The sequence below is a fragment of the Homo sapiens genome, chromosome 1 (assembly GCF_000001405.40).
Source record: "Homo sapiens chromosome 1, GRCh38.p14 Primary Assembly".
Taxonomy (NCBI): Eukaryota; Metazoa; Chordata; class Mammalia; order Primates; family Hominidae; genus Homo; species Homo sapiens.
This window is the reverse complement of record NC_000001.11, coordinates 68,091,925-68,110,474: the sequence shown is the minus strand read 5'-3', so window position 1 is coordinate 68,110,474 and position 18,550 is coordinate 68,091,925. Positions and strand designations below refer to the sequence as shown.

Here is an 18,550-nt window from a genome sequence, read left to right as displayed (position 1 = left end):
ATGCAATAATAATATGTCACTGAAATTATTGAGACTTTTATTTTCTTTGCAGAAAAATTTTAGACTACCATTTTAATTTATTTAATGATTATAAGGCTATTTAGGTTTTCCATTTCTTCAATTGGTTTCACAAGTTATATTTTTCTGGGCATTTTAAATTGTTTCCAATGTATAGACATAAAGTAGTGTAGATTATTCTTGCTATCTCTTTTGGCACTTAAAATATTTTTTCAACTTAATTTTAAATTAAATTTTTTAAAAATCTTTTTAAAATTTAATTTTGCCTATCTGTAGATATATTCCTTTGTTCATACATATTTATACCTTCACTTTTCTCAATCTTACTAAAGATTAATCTAATAGTCTTTTTAAAGAATTTTTGATTTGGTAGTTCTTCTATTTTATCTTTAATTCCTACTAATTTATGCCTCTTACTGTATTTTTTTTTTTTTTTTTTTTTTTTTTTTACTTTTTGTGTTGTGTTCCAGTGCAAATTCAGTTGATTCAATGATTTCCCCACCATCAGTTTAGGATTTGGTTTTCTTAGCTCTGGTAACATTGTTATCAATTCTTCATTTATATTCCATTTTCCAGAAGTTTGTTGCTGGTATCTCATCTCATATTTTGCCCATTCTTGTGGGTTTATATGATTGTTTAAAATCCCTTTGCTGTAGTTTTAATAAGTTTGGAGAAGGTAGTAAAATGAGCTGTATGTGTTCAATATATTATCTTTACTTGGAACCTATAATGATTATTGATCCTTCTTTCTTATTTATAATCTTTTTTTCCTGTGCTATATTCTGTTTAATTTCTTCAACTCTATTTTCCACTTCACTAATTCTTTCCTCTGCTGTTTTAATAACATTTTTCATTTCTAAAAGTTATGTTTAAGTCTTTTTCAAATCTACCATTTCACTTTTTATAGTCTAGCATTGCATGCCTATTTCTGTGACTTCATATTTTTTGAATGAATTTTGTAATTATTATACATTTCAAATATTCTCATTCCAACATTTAAAGTTCTTAGAAGTAGAAGTCTGGCATACCTCATCTCTTCTACCTCTTGCTTATAGTGGTTTGCTTTCTTGTGTGTTTGATTATATTTCATTGATCATATTTTATTGAGTGCTCATATATTGTTGCTTAATCCACGGAAATCTAAGGACCCAAATTGAGGAAGCTTTTCTCCAGAGAGATTTGTTTTTGTTGAGAGCCAGAGGGTTACCCACCTATAGAAACTTTAGCCCACTGCTGGGACCCTAGGCTTAATCTCTCTATCTTGTTAGCTGGCTTTTGATTGCAGTTTTAACATCAGCATTTGCCAGCAGGGCAACCCTGCCTTTCACCTATGCTTAGCACTTATTGCTGTGTGTTCAGGTCTTTGTTGGGGGTGAAGGTGGTAGTGCATAAGTGGTACATAACTTCTTGCAAGCCCAGGAATAAAATTAAAAGTATACTTTGTCAGGTTGTCTTTATTTTATAGCACTAAGCATTTCATAATATTTCATTCCTTATAGTACCAGAAGTGCTCTTTAATACTTTCATATTGAATTCTACTAACACGGGCCCCTCCAGGCATTACCATTTCTTTCCCTCATATATATATTTTTTGGCCTTTCTCTGGGTCCGTGGTATCTTTAGTGTGCCAATTTTCCCCATAAGAAAAGCTCTCAATTTTTTAATGTTCTTTGACTTCTGTTTTACTTTCCCCAGATAATAAACTTATAGCCTTGAGCTGTACATTATGGTCACCATTAGCTCCATGTGGCTATTAAATTAAAATTAATTAAAACTAAGTAGAATTAAAAATTCAATTATCAGTGAAAAAAAATCTCAAAAGAATCAAGGTGATTCAGTTCAGTATTTGATGAATTCCTTTAAGGCCAGTGAACTACTCTTTGAGCTCATTGCCCACCTCAGTCCAATCACCCACAGTGGAGTGGGAAGGGGGCATCTGGTGTAGACCATAGCACACTATGGGCTGGGTGGCTGGAGTGGGTACACTGCCTTAGAGGTGGGAGGGACACAGTGGTAGGCATTTTTAATATCCTCCATGACTTCATTTGGATTTTAGGACAATCCTTGACATAAACATTATTCCTGCTTTTGGTCTCTTTTAAGAGATGAAGAAACTGAAAATCTGAGAAATGAAATGAGTTACCCAAAGCTACACAGATACCAAGTAGAAAAGACAGGATTCCTTTTCCAATAAGCTGGGATTATTCAAATTTCAAATGATTTGGGACCAGGCATCCAGAGTTCCAGTCTTCCCTGTCCTAACATATAGGATGATGCTTCACAAGCCGATTCCTGCCCCACCCACAGCACAGAGCTATTGTCAGAACAGTGAGAGAATGGATGGGAAAGAGCTCTGGAATGCACGAATATTGTATACATATAAAGATTGTGGTCCCCATTTTAAAGACTAATAAAAGACCTATTGATTCAAGACTGTGAGCAGGCTATCATGAGCTTTTTGGCCTCGGGATTGTCCCTAGCTGGTGATTCATCTCCCGGGGAGCTGGGTCTGGAAGGCTCTAGAACTGGCCTCCTGCCACACTGGGGAGTGTGCTTCTCTTCTGCATTGTATCCACCTCAGAGCCTGGGGTGTGTCCCGCAGACCCGGGTCTGAATCTCTGTGCTGCCGCTTCTACCGTTGTGCCCATGATGGGGTAGATTATCCACATGTCTCATTTCCCTTCTGTGTAACATGTGGGTAATAAAAAAATAGCCCCTGCCTTACAGGTTTGCCATGAGGATCAAATGCAATAAAGCACGTAAAACGCAGGAAAGTGCCTGGCATATGAGAGATTCACAGTAAATGGAAGATCATGTTTTTTTCCCCCTTCTCTCTCAGAGTGAGGTACAGTTGAAAGGTACTTTCACATGTATTTCTTCAGTTAATCTCCTGTGCTATCCTGCCAGGTAAGTATTGTTATTCTCATATTGCAGATGAGGATACTGAGGCAAAGAGGTTGAGCTGAATGGCTTAAGGTCACATGGCTAGTAAGTGGCAGAGTTGGGACTTGAAGCAATGTCTTCTCATTGCAGAACCTAAACTCTTGTCACTCTATCTATCCTCCTACCTTCCAGCTGTTAAACATCCTTTTGCTCTCTGACAATAAAAAACCGTTCAAAGATAAATTGCCACATTGTGTTAATAGCAAAAAAAAAAAATCTAGCTATTCAACAATGGAGGATAGTTCAACAATGGTACAGACATAAAATACAGTATGAGGCAGCAACTAAAAATTATATACAAAAGGATCTATTTAAGTCAATGAAGATTCACAATATAGTAATTAAAAAGAGCTGACTAAAAATATAGTATGCATAATTTTGTCTTATTTTCATAAATAAATGGAAAGACACATTAATCGATACCAACATATTAATTACTTAAATAGTAGGAATGAGGATTATTTTGATCATTTTCTTTATGCTAATCTGTATTTTCTAACTTTAAGAGCTTTTAAATTTAAAAGCAGAAAACATTGGAATATACACGTTCAAATGCATACCGACTTAGTTGGTTTCAGTAAGGTATACATTTAGTTCTTTTAAGGGAATTTCCTCTTGACAGTGTCCAAAGCACATTGTTTTATAATGGGGTCCATATTTGCTCTGAGGAACTGATCTCGTGTTGCAGGACATTAAGCATCTCTTGTCCTGGACACTGCATACCAGTAGCCTCTATACTCACCCACCCACCTACCCACACATACACACACACACACACACACACACACACACACACAGTGACAAACACATGCACACGCGTTTCCAGGTGCCCCTTGGGTGGGGAAGTGGGAAGCAGTCTGTCTATGCATGAGAAGCACTGAGCTGCCTACACTGAAATGTCTGCCACCATTGAACAGTGAGCAGCAGGTACCTAGGTTTGCAAGGGACACGTTTCTGGAATGGAATTTTGATTGTTTTGCCTCCAATAACCGTATACTTTCCCAGCTGTTGCTCTGTGGGGCTCCCAGACCTGAAGGACACTGGTCTGGTGTCCCAGAGATGCTGTCTTTATCCTCCAAACTTCCCTTAGGAACACTCAAGCTGCAGAGGTCACACACACTGGGAAATTCTGAGGACATCATCACCCAGGCCCACTGAGGGCTCCCTTAGGCCCCCCTCGAAGTACCCTCTGCCCACCCAGCCTCGGCATCTCCTCAAGAGCACTCACTGCTAACTCCCCTCCTGGCCATTGAGTCCGGCTGCCTTGCACTATCATTTATTTCTTTATGAATGGCTCGAAGTGCCTTTTAATAAACCACTCCAGAGTATATATATTATGGATGTATCTACATCTTAAATATAGAGCATTGCTATGGGAGTTACTGTTAGTTGTTTTTGGCTGTGATTCTTCCTAGTCCTAACTCCCCACCAAGAAATTCTGAAATTTCAGAGCGAGGTACTTGATTTTTCATATTAACACTTTGATTGCAGTGACCAATGTTTAGTTTTAGGTCATCATTCTGAAGGAAAAAAGAGAAGTGATTATGTATCACCATCTTTTCTTTTCTCTCATCCCTCAGACCCTTACACCAATCCCATATCCTTTTCTTTTTGGAGCCCGGGGCATTCCTTTTTCCTCTTTTCTCCTGACATGTCTCTGTCCACTCATCTGGTGTTAGGTGTACGGTACTGACATGTTTTCCCTGGATGCAGCCCCAGAACCCAGTCCTGTCTTTCCACCCCTTATTTCTAGCAGTTCAGGCAGGTTCTGGCTCCCTTAATGTGAGGCCAAAATCACTAACACCCCTCACCTTCCAAGAAATACATCTTTTGTGTGTTTCCCATTTATACGTGGTAGGTAGTTTCTTAGTAAACCTTGAGCAGAGTTCAGAGAGAAAATCAAGATGCCTTTTTCATTTGGGTTTTGGACTTCCTGGAAAGCCAAGGACCTTGTAACAGTGATTTCTGCCTTTGTTTCATAGTTTGGAATTTTCAAAGTTGCTACTCAAAACCATTTCTTTCTTTCTGGATTCTTTTTCTACAATGAGGTGGCACCTTGGTTATGGCTTTGTGGCATATAAAACTAGACTTTCCATTAAGAGTGACTGAACTGAATGAGAATTTAGCAAATTGTGTCTATTTTTATAAATCCCTGTTTTAAAACAATTAAGTAGCATAAAAACCAGTAGTACTAAACAATGCAAAAGGGTTATGCAAAGTATAAGCACTCAGGTTAGATGTCTTTTTCCAAAATCTTGCATTGTTACCTCTCACAAGGGCAGTATACTCTTAGGTAAACTACTTATGCTGCTTCAACAGATCAAAGAAAGCAAAACTCCCTGGCTCCTGGCTTTCCTCCAACTTTTCTGTCAATGAATTGGAAAAGAGAATAGACATTAATAAAGGGTAGATCAGACATCTAACCTTATTAAACATGCTGGTCTGGATAAATTAGAGCTGAAGAGAATGGGACCACATAGATACATCAACTATGCACAGGCAGTGACTGCCTAAGACTTCACAGATCAGGATAGGTAACAAAGAACCAGAGACAGGAGGGTGCAATCCCTGCAATCCTAAATTTTATTTTACTGAGACAGGTGTCTTGCTTTTTTGCCCAGGTTGTAGTGCAGAGGCACGATCATGGCTACCTGCATCCTTGGCCTCCCAGGTTCAAGCCATCCTCCCACCTCAGCTTCCTGAGTAGCTGGGGCTACAGGCATGCACCACCACACCTGGCTACTTTTTTAAAAATTATTTTTAGTAGAGATGAGGTCTCCCTATGTTTCCCTGGCTGGTCTTGATCAAACTCCTGGGCTCAAGAGATCCTTCTGCCTCAGCATCCCAAAGTGCTGGGATTATAGGTGCAAGCCATCGCACCAGGCTGCAATCCTGAATTTTAAAATACAGAAGGTGAACTCACAAACTTGACAGCAAAAGCAGGCAAGGAGCTAGGAGGGACCCTGGACACCCATAGTCCCAATAGAGCTGGGCTTAGGAGGGATCATATGATATTGCACCTACAAAGGAGAAATACCCTCCAAGTTTTCACTGATTGTAGAGCTCAACATGAGTCAGCAGTGGGATGCAGCTGCTCAGAGCAAATGTGATATTCAGCTGCATTAATGGAACTATTATGTTTCCAAAAGAGAGCACAATGACCTCCCTGGACTTTGCATAACTAGCTAAGTCTAGAATACTGAGTCATCTCCACCGATAATGGTAGTGATGATTCTCAGAACCATTTTGTATAAAGAAGAGTTTCGTGTGACTTTTCTCCTGGGAAACAGGGTCTGCACTTAGATTTTGCTTTTTTTTTTAAATCACAAACATTGCAGGGCCCCGAGAGACAGAAGCTGTGCATTTTATTCTTAATCAAACACTACATCAAGGAATGTTTAGTTTTCTCCCTACTGCTTCTGTCCTGTGCCTCAAGGTGGGACTCTTCAACGGTCTGGATAGTTCTGGGCCCTTGAGCCAGTGTGGCTTGCTGGGTGTGGGCCCTGTGACAGAGGTAGGGCATGTCTTATGAAGAAACCTCTGTGAGCTCCGCCAGACAGCCAAGTCAAGGAGGAAAATTGTCCCCTGCCCCCAGCACCCCATGTTTCAGTTCAATTTAAGGCAGATCTTCTAACAATCAGGGCTGTTTAAACACAAAATGAGCTGCTCTGGGAAGGAGCAAGTTCTCCATTTTTGGCAGTGCCCAAGCAGCATGTGGGTGACCCACTGAATACTGCTGTGGATTAAGGAAAGGCTTGGCGGGGATGATGCTGGGCACGCCTCCAAACCCGACTCTGTGCTCCTATGCTTAGACCACCCTGGCCTCTTCTGATAAGACTTCCCAAATACCTTGCTTCTCCTCATTTGGAGTTAGTATCCCCCTACAAACTACAATTATAGGATTCTGAATCCATTTTAAAATAAAATGGAGTATTTATCCTCTTATCTCTCTCCATCACCACCAGTACAGCCTCCAATCACTCAGCTCTGACCACTTGAATCCATAAGAAGAGAAGAACTGCATAATTTTGTCTTTCTAGCTTTCCTGGTCCATTAGAAGGGCACCGCAGTGCTCCCTCTTTAATCCCTTTAGCTTTTTGGCAAAGCAGCAGGAAAAAACACCTTATGAGGAATGTGAACAGATCACAAGGGGAGCCAACCTGTGATTGTTCTTCTTCACTCACCTGCTTCCCAGTCAGTTCAGTCCAAATCCTTTTGAAGCAAGCACATGAATTGTTGCTACTTTAGGGCAATTACAGGATTTACAGATTAAACATATCCCCACTGGTTTCCCTAGCAACCGTCTTTGAATCACAGGATGAGATAAAACTATTGTTCTAGTTAATAGAGTCTGATGTTAAGAGAAGTCCAGCCATGTAATTCACAGAGGTATGCACCCTGGTGGGAGCAGAAAGAGCGCTAGGCAGGGAGGCAGCAGACCTACGTGCAGGTTCCGGTCCACTGGGGTCAGATACAGAACAGGAACATATCTCAAGACACTGGTGACAGTGCCCCCGGCAAAAAAAAGGGTTCAGAGCACTGCCAGGGGAAGAAAGATGCAGGTGTTTCTAAATGAGTGAAAACATTAGGCACAAAACAATCGAAGGCAAGGGGTCTACTTGGACAAAGCCAAGACACAGTGAGGTCAGGTGCAGGGCCCACTCCTCCAGCTGCCAGACCAGGCAATCAAGCCACCTTGGGCAATGCACATTATTATGTGGCCAGACCTGGGTGGGGTCTGGGAAGGTCAGCTGGCAAGAGGGGCATATGATTTTTGGCTTTTTACCTGTATAATAAGATGCTTGGGTTACATTTCAAGGCCCGTTCCAACTCTTCTGGGTAGTAGAGCTTCTCTGATTCTGAACCAATTGAGAAATAGTCATATTTCAGCAAATACAGATGAATATAGGACCTTTATTGGTTGTTGAGTAGGAGCCCTTAAAGTGGACCTGCAATCAGATGACCTTCAAAATGATACAACCCCAGCTGGGTCTGGACCTGCACATGAGGAGAATTGAGTCTGTGGTGCAGAAACATGGAGGTCAGATGCATGCCTCAAATCAATGAATTCTGGAGAGCAAGAAGAGAGACATCAACCTCCAGATCCCAGGCTACGATTCAACGGTTCTCCCCATAGGAAAGCAGAAGCAATGAAAAAATTGTCTCACAGTCAGCCTAAACAAGAGAGCCCGCTGTTTAGGACCCTTCTCCAACCTCCCTAAGAAGAGAAGTCATTCTTTCCCTTGGGAAGAAGTAAAAAGAGGAAGGGGCAGGAAATAACTTCCCAATCCCCCAGAGGACAGAAAGTCCTGTTACAGGCTGGGAAGAATGCAGGAGGAGAAATGTTTCCTCTAACACAGGGAGGAGGGTGTTGAATGGAATACCAAAGGCATATAGCTGGCCCATGGTAGACACTCCTTACTTGCCCTTGCTTCCCAGGAAACACAAGTCTAACCACCTTCACCTGTGTGTGCAGAGTCTGCAGCTCCCAGCAGCTATAACGAAGGTATTTACTGCCACCTACACACATAGTTCAAAGTCCCTTGGAAAATGAAAATCAACAGTAAGATATTTGATTTCTCTCCCGTAACAGCTAAGTAGAATGAATATATGAAGTTATTGAAATTTTAAGAGCGTATTTTTTGTTTCCCAGTATTTCTCGCTGTAACTATGAAGTTTTATCATTTTCCTTGTTAAAGGAAGAGAAAGTGTGTTTATAAGCGTGTATTTTGCAAAGCCCCTTGCAGCCAGTCTTCCTGAACTTTCACCATTGGGAGACTCACCCCCAATTCATGAAGTTTCTAGATTTCTTGTGCAATATCTCAGAGTTCCTCATTTAGTAAGCAGCATCTTAATAATACCAAGCCCTGTCTTATATTATATTCTGGACAGTGAACGTAGACATATTTGTTTAAGGGTCAGAGAGAGAAGACAGCACTCTCAGGAACACACTAGAGTGAGTGGTTGAATTGGATTCAGCCCTGCAACCCTTCTGTCTTTGTGACGCTTCATGTGATCCTATCGGGACTGAGCTTCAGGTTCTTTCTTTCCAGACATTCCCGTTCCCCTCTACAAGGTAACTAAGTTCATGGAGTAAGAGGACACGAATAAAGCCTTTCTGGGGCGGCCTCCTTTCTTCAAAGAGCAAAGGAAAACTATTTCTCTTCTGATAGGTTGCTGATGCCTATAATAATAATAATAATAATAGCAAATATGATGAACATTTATTGGCCCCTCTCTGCCAGGCATGGTGCTAGGTGCTTTGTATTATTTCATTTCTTCTTCACAACAACCCATGAGGTGTTGATTATTATCATCCCCATGTTACTGTTAACTGAAGAATCACAAGGTTCAGAAACTTGGAGAGGAGAGCTTTACTTCTAACAAAAGGTTACAGCCTGCAGGTGGCCATCCTGATAGGCTGGGAAGCATAGCCTCCAGCAGACACCAAAAGCAGGCACTTCAAGGGAGAGAGGGGTAAAGCAGGAATTTATGCTGAACGGTTTGGCCACGTTTATGTTTACATATTCAGCAGGTTACAGGGGGCAATAAATATTTAGGAAGTGGGGGATGCTCGCATACATAGTAAAGCAAACATGCATGTTGCATGTGTCCCATGTTCATGGTGGGCTGGAGACTTATCAGTGCTTGTTTAACTGCTAGAGTGAAAGAAAAAACCTTGAGGCAGTTACAATATAGTTTATTCCTTAAGAGGAAGGGTGTGTGACTTCATTCTTACCTGGCATGACCTTGGGTCCTGTTTATAATATGGTATCTTATTGCCACAAAGAGTCCATTCCGACAGCCTTATGATCTCTGTTTTGACATTACAGAAGAGAAAAATGAGGCTTGGAGACTCTCAAGTAACTTTGTGTGCAGTCTCACAACTGGAAAGTGGTGAGACTTTTGCCAGTTTAGACAATTCAATTTTAATTTCTAAATTTAAAACCTTTGCCTCCCACCTACCCATTCGCCCTCTTCCTCAAAGTTGAAGATTTACTATATTTAAAGGAACTCTACTATGTGTTTGCATATTCCTTGAGGGTTTGAGTTTAGGGGTCATTCACACCTGATTTATTCTTTGCTCTCTGTCCTTTAGGAAGAAATGAGAGTTTGGGGTGTTATAGAACAGTTGGGAGAAGGTAGAATTTTGGAACCTGTGGACACTCTGGGAAGGAGAGACAATAGGCTGCTTCTCTGCACCCCTCCACAGGCCAGCTCCAGGCCGAGATATTGGCAAGAGCAGCAGAAAAGAACCAGGGGACCAGGATCCTCAACTAACTTGTGGATCCTCAACTAATATGTGAGCTTGGCCCCTAGACTTTCAGTGTCTGGCTGCAGTTTCCTGCACTGTAACACAAACAGATTAGAATTGATGAATGTCAAGTTTCCTCTGAGTTTTCAATCTAGGTAATTCAATTCCACATCTATTAGTGAGAAAAACTGCTGGTAAAAACTGTTTTCTCTGAGAACTTTTTCTGCTTATTTGGCAAATGTTTATATAGTGCTTACAAGTAACTACTGTATACTCTCCTAAGAACTTTATGTGCACCAATTTATCTAATCCTCACAATAGACTTGTGTGGTATTGTAGGTAGTGATATTATCCTGTTATAGGTAACAAGACAGAAGCATGTGGTGATTTGCTCAAGGTCCTACAGTTTGTAAAAGTGAAGCCAAGTTGAATGTATGCAGTCTGGGTCCAGAATCCATGTCCTTACCTTGATATTATAGTCAGTCCTCTGTATCCGCAGGTTCCGCACCCAACCATGGATTGGAAATATTCTAAAAAATTAAAAATAACAATAAAAATGACACAAATGAAAAAATATAGTATAACAACTATTTCCATAGCCTTTATATTGTATTAGGTATTATAGGTAATCTAAAGATTATTTAAAGTATATGGGAGGAGGGGCATAGGTTGCATGCAAATGGTCCCTTATGCCATTTTACATAAGGGACTTGAGTATCTGCAGAGTTTGGCATCCACAAAGGTCCTACAGCCAATCTCCTACAGGTACGGAAGGATGACTAGAGCTTGTTTTTAATCTTATCAACATAGAATTGTGTGTCTGATCAAGTATTCCTCTTTAAATTGACAACCCAGTTACTTCTCAACTTTATTGAGTATACAAGCCCTGGGAGTGTGCGTTTTAGATACTAGGCTCAGCTTTCAGCTTTATTCTGCCTGCCTGTTTTTCTTTCATTCTTCACCCTACCAGATCTTTTTCCTGTCTCTGAGTATATCTCTTTGCAGTTCACCAAAACATCCTTTTTGGAAGATGATAAGACATATAAAAAAAAATAAAAATAAATTTAAAGATGATTCAATGACACAAGCTGGGAATCCTCCTAAGTGGCTTGCTGTATCCCCCAGTGCCTGTGCTGGGCTTTCACAGGATTTGGGAGAGAAAGTGGGGATGAGGGGGGCAGTTCTATCTTAAGATGAACTAGATACACGTTCTCAACAAGGATGGCAGTGCTGCTCGGGAGGTGTTGGAAAATTTGTTGAATGTGGAGGAACTGATTGTCACAATAATTGAGGGAGGAGGTGCTATTGAGATTTAGTGGGCAAGGGAGAAATCTGCAAATGTCCCACAATGAAGGACACAGTCCTAAACAAATTTCAAACACTCCACTAGAAATTTATGTAGGTAAAAATTTTTATAGTTACCTGAGCCTTGGTCCTAAACTCCATGTTACATATTTTTTTAAAAGGATATTTTGCATGGTTTTAAAATATACTGAATTTTCCAGGAATGCAACTCCCATGTAAATCGAGGGAAGATTGTGCTTTGTTTGTTTCGGAACTTTATCAAGAATTGTTCAGCGCTTCGAAATATTCCTTCATCAATGACAACGCAGCTTCTGGTATTTGAGTCAACAAGGCAACACATGTTTATCAGCTTTGCATTTGCAGTTGTCACAGTCACATTGATTGTACTTGTATACGCACACAAATACACTCATTTAGCCTTTATCTCAAAATGTTAAATATAAGGAAAAAAGCGTCAACAATAAATATTCTTTGAGTATTGTCTTACTTCTCTTACATCCATATTAACTCAATGTATGTAGAAGAAAACATCTGCCAACTTTATCATTGTCTCTAGTGTAGTCATGCCTGAACATTTCCAGGTTGAAAAACATTATTTTGTTACAAATTACTTTTTATTTATTTATCCTCCATGTAACAGGATACTGTATTGTTTTTCTAAAAATTTAGATTACCTGTAAGTTTTTTTCAGGATAGAAAAAGTAATATTGCAAATATATGTATTTAAAATGGTAGTGTTGCATCTGATAGGTTGAGAACCACTAGCTAAGCCTTCAAAGGTGCATGTTCCCAGCACATGTAATGGCCTTCTTCAGCTGTATGATTCCCAGCTTCATACAGTCATTTGAGAAGTACTAAGGCAGTGCTGAATTGCAGGACCGAGATCAGAAAGAAAATCTCCAATAAATTTGGACCATAGTGGAAATAAGCTAAAATTAATTTTTACAAAGGTAACTGTAAAATACCCATATGCTTGGAAGTTTTAAAACTATTTGCAAATTTCAAAAACCCCTCACAATTAATATTTTAAAATAGTTGAAACTAATTGAATGTAAACATTGATAATATCAAAACTTCTGGGATATAGCTAAACTATACTTAGAATATGCATGTAATAAAAGAAATGCATGTAAGACTGAAATGCATGTAATAAAAGACAGTTGAAATCAATGGTTTAAGTATACCACCCAAGATTTTAGAAGAGGAAAGGCAAATTAAATAAAAAAGACAGGAGAAGGAGGTAAAAAATTAAAACAGAAAAAAATTAATGAAATATAATACAGATGACAATAAAGAGAACCAGTAGGCCAAAAGTTTGTTCATTAAAAAGTACAATAAGATTGATAAACTGGCAAGACTGATCAAGAAAAAGAAAAGAGATCAAAAGCAAGAGCAGGAGCAAGTCAGCAAGACAGCAAGAGCAAATTACCCATTATCAAAAATAAAAAGTGTCGGGGCACAGTGGTTCACACCAGTAATCCCAACACTTTGGGAGGCCAAAACAGCAGGATCACTTGAACTCAGGAGTTTGAGACAACATAATGAGATCTCATTTCTACAAAAAATAAAATAAAATAAATATCCAGGCATGGTGGCGCACACTTGTAGTCCCAACTACTCAGGAGGCTGAGGTGGGAGGATTGCTTGAGCCTGAGAGGTTGAGGTTGCTGTGAGCTCTGGTTGCACCACTACACTCCAGCCTGGGCAACAGAGTGAGACCCTGTCTCAATAAATAAATAAATAAATAAATAAATAAATAAATAAATAAATAAAAAGGGGGATATCATCACAGACGACAAAGTTTCCACACAGATGCTACAAAGTTAATAAGAGGATAACATGAACAATTTTATGCCAATAAACTTGAATTTTTACATGTTATGGACAAATTTCTTAAAAAAACTTACTAAAATTGATACAAGAAGAAATAGAGTATATGAATAATCTCTATGAATATTTTTTAAATTTTATATTCAATTTTGTTCCCACAAAGAAAAGTTGGGCTTCACTGGTAAATTTTACCAAACATACGAGAAATAGGACAATTACACAGACTATTCCAGAGAATAGGGAAAAAGGAGAAATTTTCCTATTTGTTTTATAAAGTTCTATAATTTTGACACCATCAACTTGATACCAACAAAATTACAGTCCAATATTACTTACAAACATAGATGCAAATATTCTAAAAGGAATATTAGCAAACTCAATACAGCAATACATAAAAAGTGCAATTGATCAAAACCAAGTTGGATAATTTCTAGAAATGCAATTTCTAGTTTAACATTGGAAAAGCCAGGCAGGGTAATTCACTGAATTAACACCATGAAAGATAAAAATCGCTGACATCTCAATAGGTTAAAAAATATTTAATTAAATTCAACACCTATTCATGAAAAAAGACTAAGAACTAGGAAAGGAAGATAATTTCTTTAATTTCATCAGGGCCATATAAAAAGCCAGCATCATAATAAATGGTGAAATGTTGAATGCTTTCTCTCTGAGACTAGGAATAAGCCAAGTATGCCCAGAATCACCACTTCTTCACAGTATTCTAATGGAAATCCTAGTAATTACAACAATAACAGAAATTAAACCAAGGGTATAAGGAATAGAAAAACTATGATCGTTTGCAAATGTTATTTACATATGCAAAGAAAATCCATAATAATTACAATTAAAGTATCATAAATAAGTGAGCTTTGCAAGGTTGCCAGATGCAAGGTCAAGATATGAAATTAATACCAGCATTAAAAATTAGAAAATAAAAATTTAAAGCAGATATCATTTCATAGTGGCAACAAAACTACCAAATACTTTTGAATAAATCTAACAAATATGTACAAGATCTCTGCACAGAAAATAACATATATTGAGATAAATTACTGAAGACCTACATACACAGAGAAATATCCCATCTTGGTAGAATGAAGAAAGCTTTATGAAACAAACTCCATTATATGCAATCCCCATTAAAATCACAGCAGTGTTTTTTAATAAAAAATTCTGAGCAGCTTCTAAAATATATACAGAAATACAAAGGACTGTAAATAGCATAAAGCCTAAGGACTTACTCCATCAGATATCAAGACTTATAGGTAATTAAACTACAGTAATTAAGACAGTGTGATATTGATGTAAGGATAGACAAATAGACTACAGGAAAGAGTTTTCAAACAGATCCACCCATACTTGGACATTCGATCTTGCAAGCTAGCACTGTAGAGCAGCAGAGAAAGGGTCATTCAGTAAATAGTGCTCAGTCTATTGAGTAACTGTCTGGGGAGAAAAAGAGAAACTTGATCATTATGTCATACCACACATAAAAATCAATTCTCAGTGCATGGTAGCTCTAAATGTAAAGGGTAAAATAATAGAGCTTCTATTAGATAAAATAAGAAAATATCTTCATGATGTGAGGCTAGAGAAAAAAATTTATTAAATGACACAAAGATCACTAACAATACAGGAAAATATGAATAAATTGGATACATTACATTAAATTAAGAGCTTTTGTTCATCAAATGACATTATTAAAAGAGAGGGAAAGTAAGCCAAAGAGTAGAAGATATTTGCAACACATGTAAATGTGAGCAACTTATGTCCAAAACACATGAAAAACTTATACAAACATAAAAATACAGACAATTCAAGATGCTTCCTGTATAAAAAAGAGGATACCAAATAGCTAATATATCTATGAAAGGTGCTCAACCTCATTAGTAATCAAGAAAATACAAATTGAAATAAACACCTACCCTGTGACCCAGCAATTCCATTCCTAGGCCTATACCAACAGAAGTGCAAGCACATGTGGACAAAAAGATATTTATAAGAGTATTGATAACAGCCTTATTTGTAATGGCCCCTGAATGGAAGCAGCTCAAATGTCCATTCATAGTATAAATTGTGGTGTCCTCATTTAATGAAATACCACCAGCAATTACGATGAATAAAACTATACAATGTGAACAAATTTACAAACATTATTTTGAGCACAGAAATTCAGCAAGAAAGAATATATACTGTGTGATGATATATAAATGATCCCACTTACGTAAGGTCAAAAACAAGCAAAACTGGCCAGGCACAGTGGCTCACGCCTGTAATCCCAACACTTTGGGAAACAGGTGGGCAGATCACTTGACATCAGGAGTTCAAGACCAGCCTGGCCAACATGGTAAAATCTCTTCTCTACTAAAAATACAAAAATTAGCCAGGCATGGTGGCACACGCCTGTAGTCACAGCTACTTGGGAGGCTGAGGCAGGAGAACTGCTTGAACCCGGGAGGCAGAGTTTGCAGTGAGCTGATATCACACCACTGCATTCCAGCCTGGGCAACAGAGGGAGACTCCATCTCAAAAAAAAAAAAAAAAAAAAAAAGGCAAGCGAAACTAAACCATAGTTTTAGAAGACTGTATAGTAAATAAATTGGGAGTAGTTTTGGGGAAGGAACCTGAGCTTGGCTTTTGGGATGATGATAATGTCCTATGCATGATGGTGATGTATTATATGGAGCTATGTGTTAATGATGTATACATTATGTGTACTATATTTCAATATTTTAAAAAATTCAGCAATACCTTAATCAGACTAGGCTCACAGAATTTTTTTACACTATTAAACTAATGTAACAGTTGATGTGACAATTTATAAGCAACATTGATGAAACAATAGGAAGAAATCATCTATGGTTTATAACTAGTAGTAAATGAATAAGGTTTTACTCATTGAAGAAAATCTACATGCAGAATATACCCTGAAAAGTTTGAAGAAGGTAGCTCAATGAAGACAAAACTCCTTAGAGGACCCCTAACTGGACTTAAGACTTTAGGCTTCACTGGCATTCAATCACACTCTGTTCTCACCTACAGTTCACAAAGCCACCTACACCCCCTTCCAGTCCCAGAGACACTTTTTTCTTAATCCTGGACCAGATGAAGGCAGAACCATTTGAGCTCTGGCTGGCTAATAGCAGAATTGAAGTGTCTCCAACAATACAGAGCTGCAAATTGCTGTGATTCATCCTAGGTGAATGCAGTCCTTGGACACCTTATCATAAAAGGAACACAGTTGTTAAAACTCTTCTGTGTGGCCAAAGGCCCCCTCACCTACATGTGGGTACTCAGATTTGGGTTTTAATTTTTAATCTGAGAGCACAGTTTAATAACTGGGCCATTTTTCTGGTGGGGGGAGGGGAGTGTTGTCATTGCCATTGCTGCTGTTGTTATAAAAGAAAGGAAAGAGGGTGTGCAGCTCCCACAACGATCGACACAGAAGATGGGTGATTTCTGCATTTCCAACTGAAGTATCTGGTTCATCTCACTGAGACTGGTTGGACAGTGGGTGCAGCTCACGGAAGGTGAGCCGAAGCAGGGCAGGGCATCGCCTTACCCGGGAAGTGCAAGGGGTTGGCGGATTTCCCTTTCCTAGCCAAGGGAAGCTGTGACAGAGTGTACCAGGAAAAATCAGCTCACTGCCACCCAAATACTGCACTTTTCCATGGTCTTAGCAAACAGAACACAAGGAGATTATATCCTGCGCCTGACTCAGTGGGTCCCATGCCCACTGAGCCTTCCTCACTGCTAGCGCAGCAGCCTGAGATCAAACTGCAAGGCAGCAGCCTGGCTGGGGGAGAGGCGTCAGCCATTGCTGAGGCTAGAGTAGGTAAACGAAGCAGCCTGGAAACTCAAACTGGGTGGAGCCCACCACAGCTCATCAAGGCCTGCCTGCCTCTGTAGACTCTATCTCTGGGGGCAGAGCATAGCTGACCAAAGGCAGCAGAAACCTCTGCAGACTTAAACGTCCCTGTCTGACAGCTCTGAAGAGAGCAGAGGTTCTCCCAGCACAGTGTTTGATCTCTGAGAACAGACAGACTGCCTCCTCAAGTGGGTCCCTGACCCCTGTGTAGCCTAACTGGGAGACACCTCCCAGTAGGGGACGACTGACACCTCATATAGCAAGGTGCCCCTCTGAGATGAAGCTTCCAGAGGAAGTATCAGGCAGCAATATTTGCTATTCTGCAGCCTCCGCTGGTGATACCCAGGCAAACAGGGTCTGAAGTGGACCTCCAGCAAACTCCATCGGACCTGCAGCTGAGGGACCTGTTAGAAGGAAAACTAACAAACAGAAAGGAATAGCATCAACATCAACAAAAAGAACATCCACACCAAAACCCCATCTGTAGATCACCAACATCAAACACCAAAGGTAGATAAAACCACAAAGAGGGAGAGAAACCAGAGCAGAAAAGCTGAAAATTCTAAAAACCAGAGTGCCTGTTCTCCTCCAAAGGATCGCAGCTCCCCACCAGCAATGGAACAAAGCAGGATGGAGAATGACTTTGACGAGTTGACAGAAGTAGGCTTCAGAAGGTCGGTAATAACAAACTTCTCCGAGCTAAAGGAGGATGTCAAACCCATCGCAAGGAAGCTAAAAACCTTGAAAAAAGATCAGATGAATGGCTAACTAGAATTAACAGAGTAGTGAAGACCTTAAATGACCTGATGGAGCAGAAGACCATGGCACCAGAACTACATGATGCATGCACAAGCTTCAGTAGCCGATTTGATCAAGTGGAAGAAAGGGTATCAGTGATTGAAGATCAAATTAATGAAATGAAGCAAGAGGAGAAGTTAAGAGAAAAAAACAGTAAAAAGAAACGAACAAAGCCTCCCAGGCATATGGGACTATGTGAAAAGACCAAATCTACGTTTGATTGGTGTACCTGAAAGTGACGGGGAGAATGGAAACAAGTTGGAAAACACTCTTCAGGATATTATCCAGGAGAACTTCCCCAACCTAACAAGGCAGGCCAACATTCAAGTTTAGGAAATGCAGAGAACACCACAAAGATACTCCTCGAGAAGAGAAACTCCAGGACACATAATTGTCAGATTCACCAAGGTTAAAATGAAGGAAAAAATGTTAAGGGCAGCCAGAGAGAAAGGTTGGGTTACCCACAAAGGGAAGCCCAGTCAGACTAACAGCAGATCTCTCAGCAGAAACTCTATAAGCCAAAAGAGAGT

General features: G+C 39.5%; 1 protein-coding gene and 1 long non-coding RNA gene across 3 annotated transcripts in view; one reads left to right on the top strand and one right to left on the bottom strand.

The window, feature by feature from the left end:
* WLS (Wnt ligand secretion mediator) overlaps nucleotides 1-12,016 on the top strand; it is a 134,088-nt gene extending 122,072 nt beyond the window's left edge. For both annotated transcript variants that reach the window (NM_001002292.4, XM_011542191.3), the window contains exon 12: nucleotides 11,722-12,016. In NM_001002292.4, coding sequence (NP_001002292.3) covers nucleotides 11,722-11,843 — 122 coding nt within the window. In that variant the 3' untranslated portion in view covers nucleotides 11,844-12,016. The remainder of the gene's footprint in view (nucleotides 1-11,721) is intronic.
* GNG12-AS1 (GNG12, DIRAS3 and WLS antisense RNA 1) overlaps nucleotides 1-18,550 on the bottom strand; it is a 370,700-nt gene that overhangs the window by 92,513 nt on the left and 259,637 nt on the right. The window contains exons 4-6 of the long non-coding RNA NR_040077.1: nucleotides 11,639-11,832; nucleotides 10,683-10,746; nucleotides 9,701-9,777 (exon numbers count right to left, since the gene is read on the bottom strand). This is a non-coding gene — a long non-coding RNA (GNG12, DIRAS3 and WLS antisense RNA 1). The remainder of the gene's footprint in view (nucleotides 1-9,700; nucleotides 9,778-10,682; nucleotides 10,747-11,638; nucleotides 11,833-18,550) is intronic.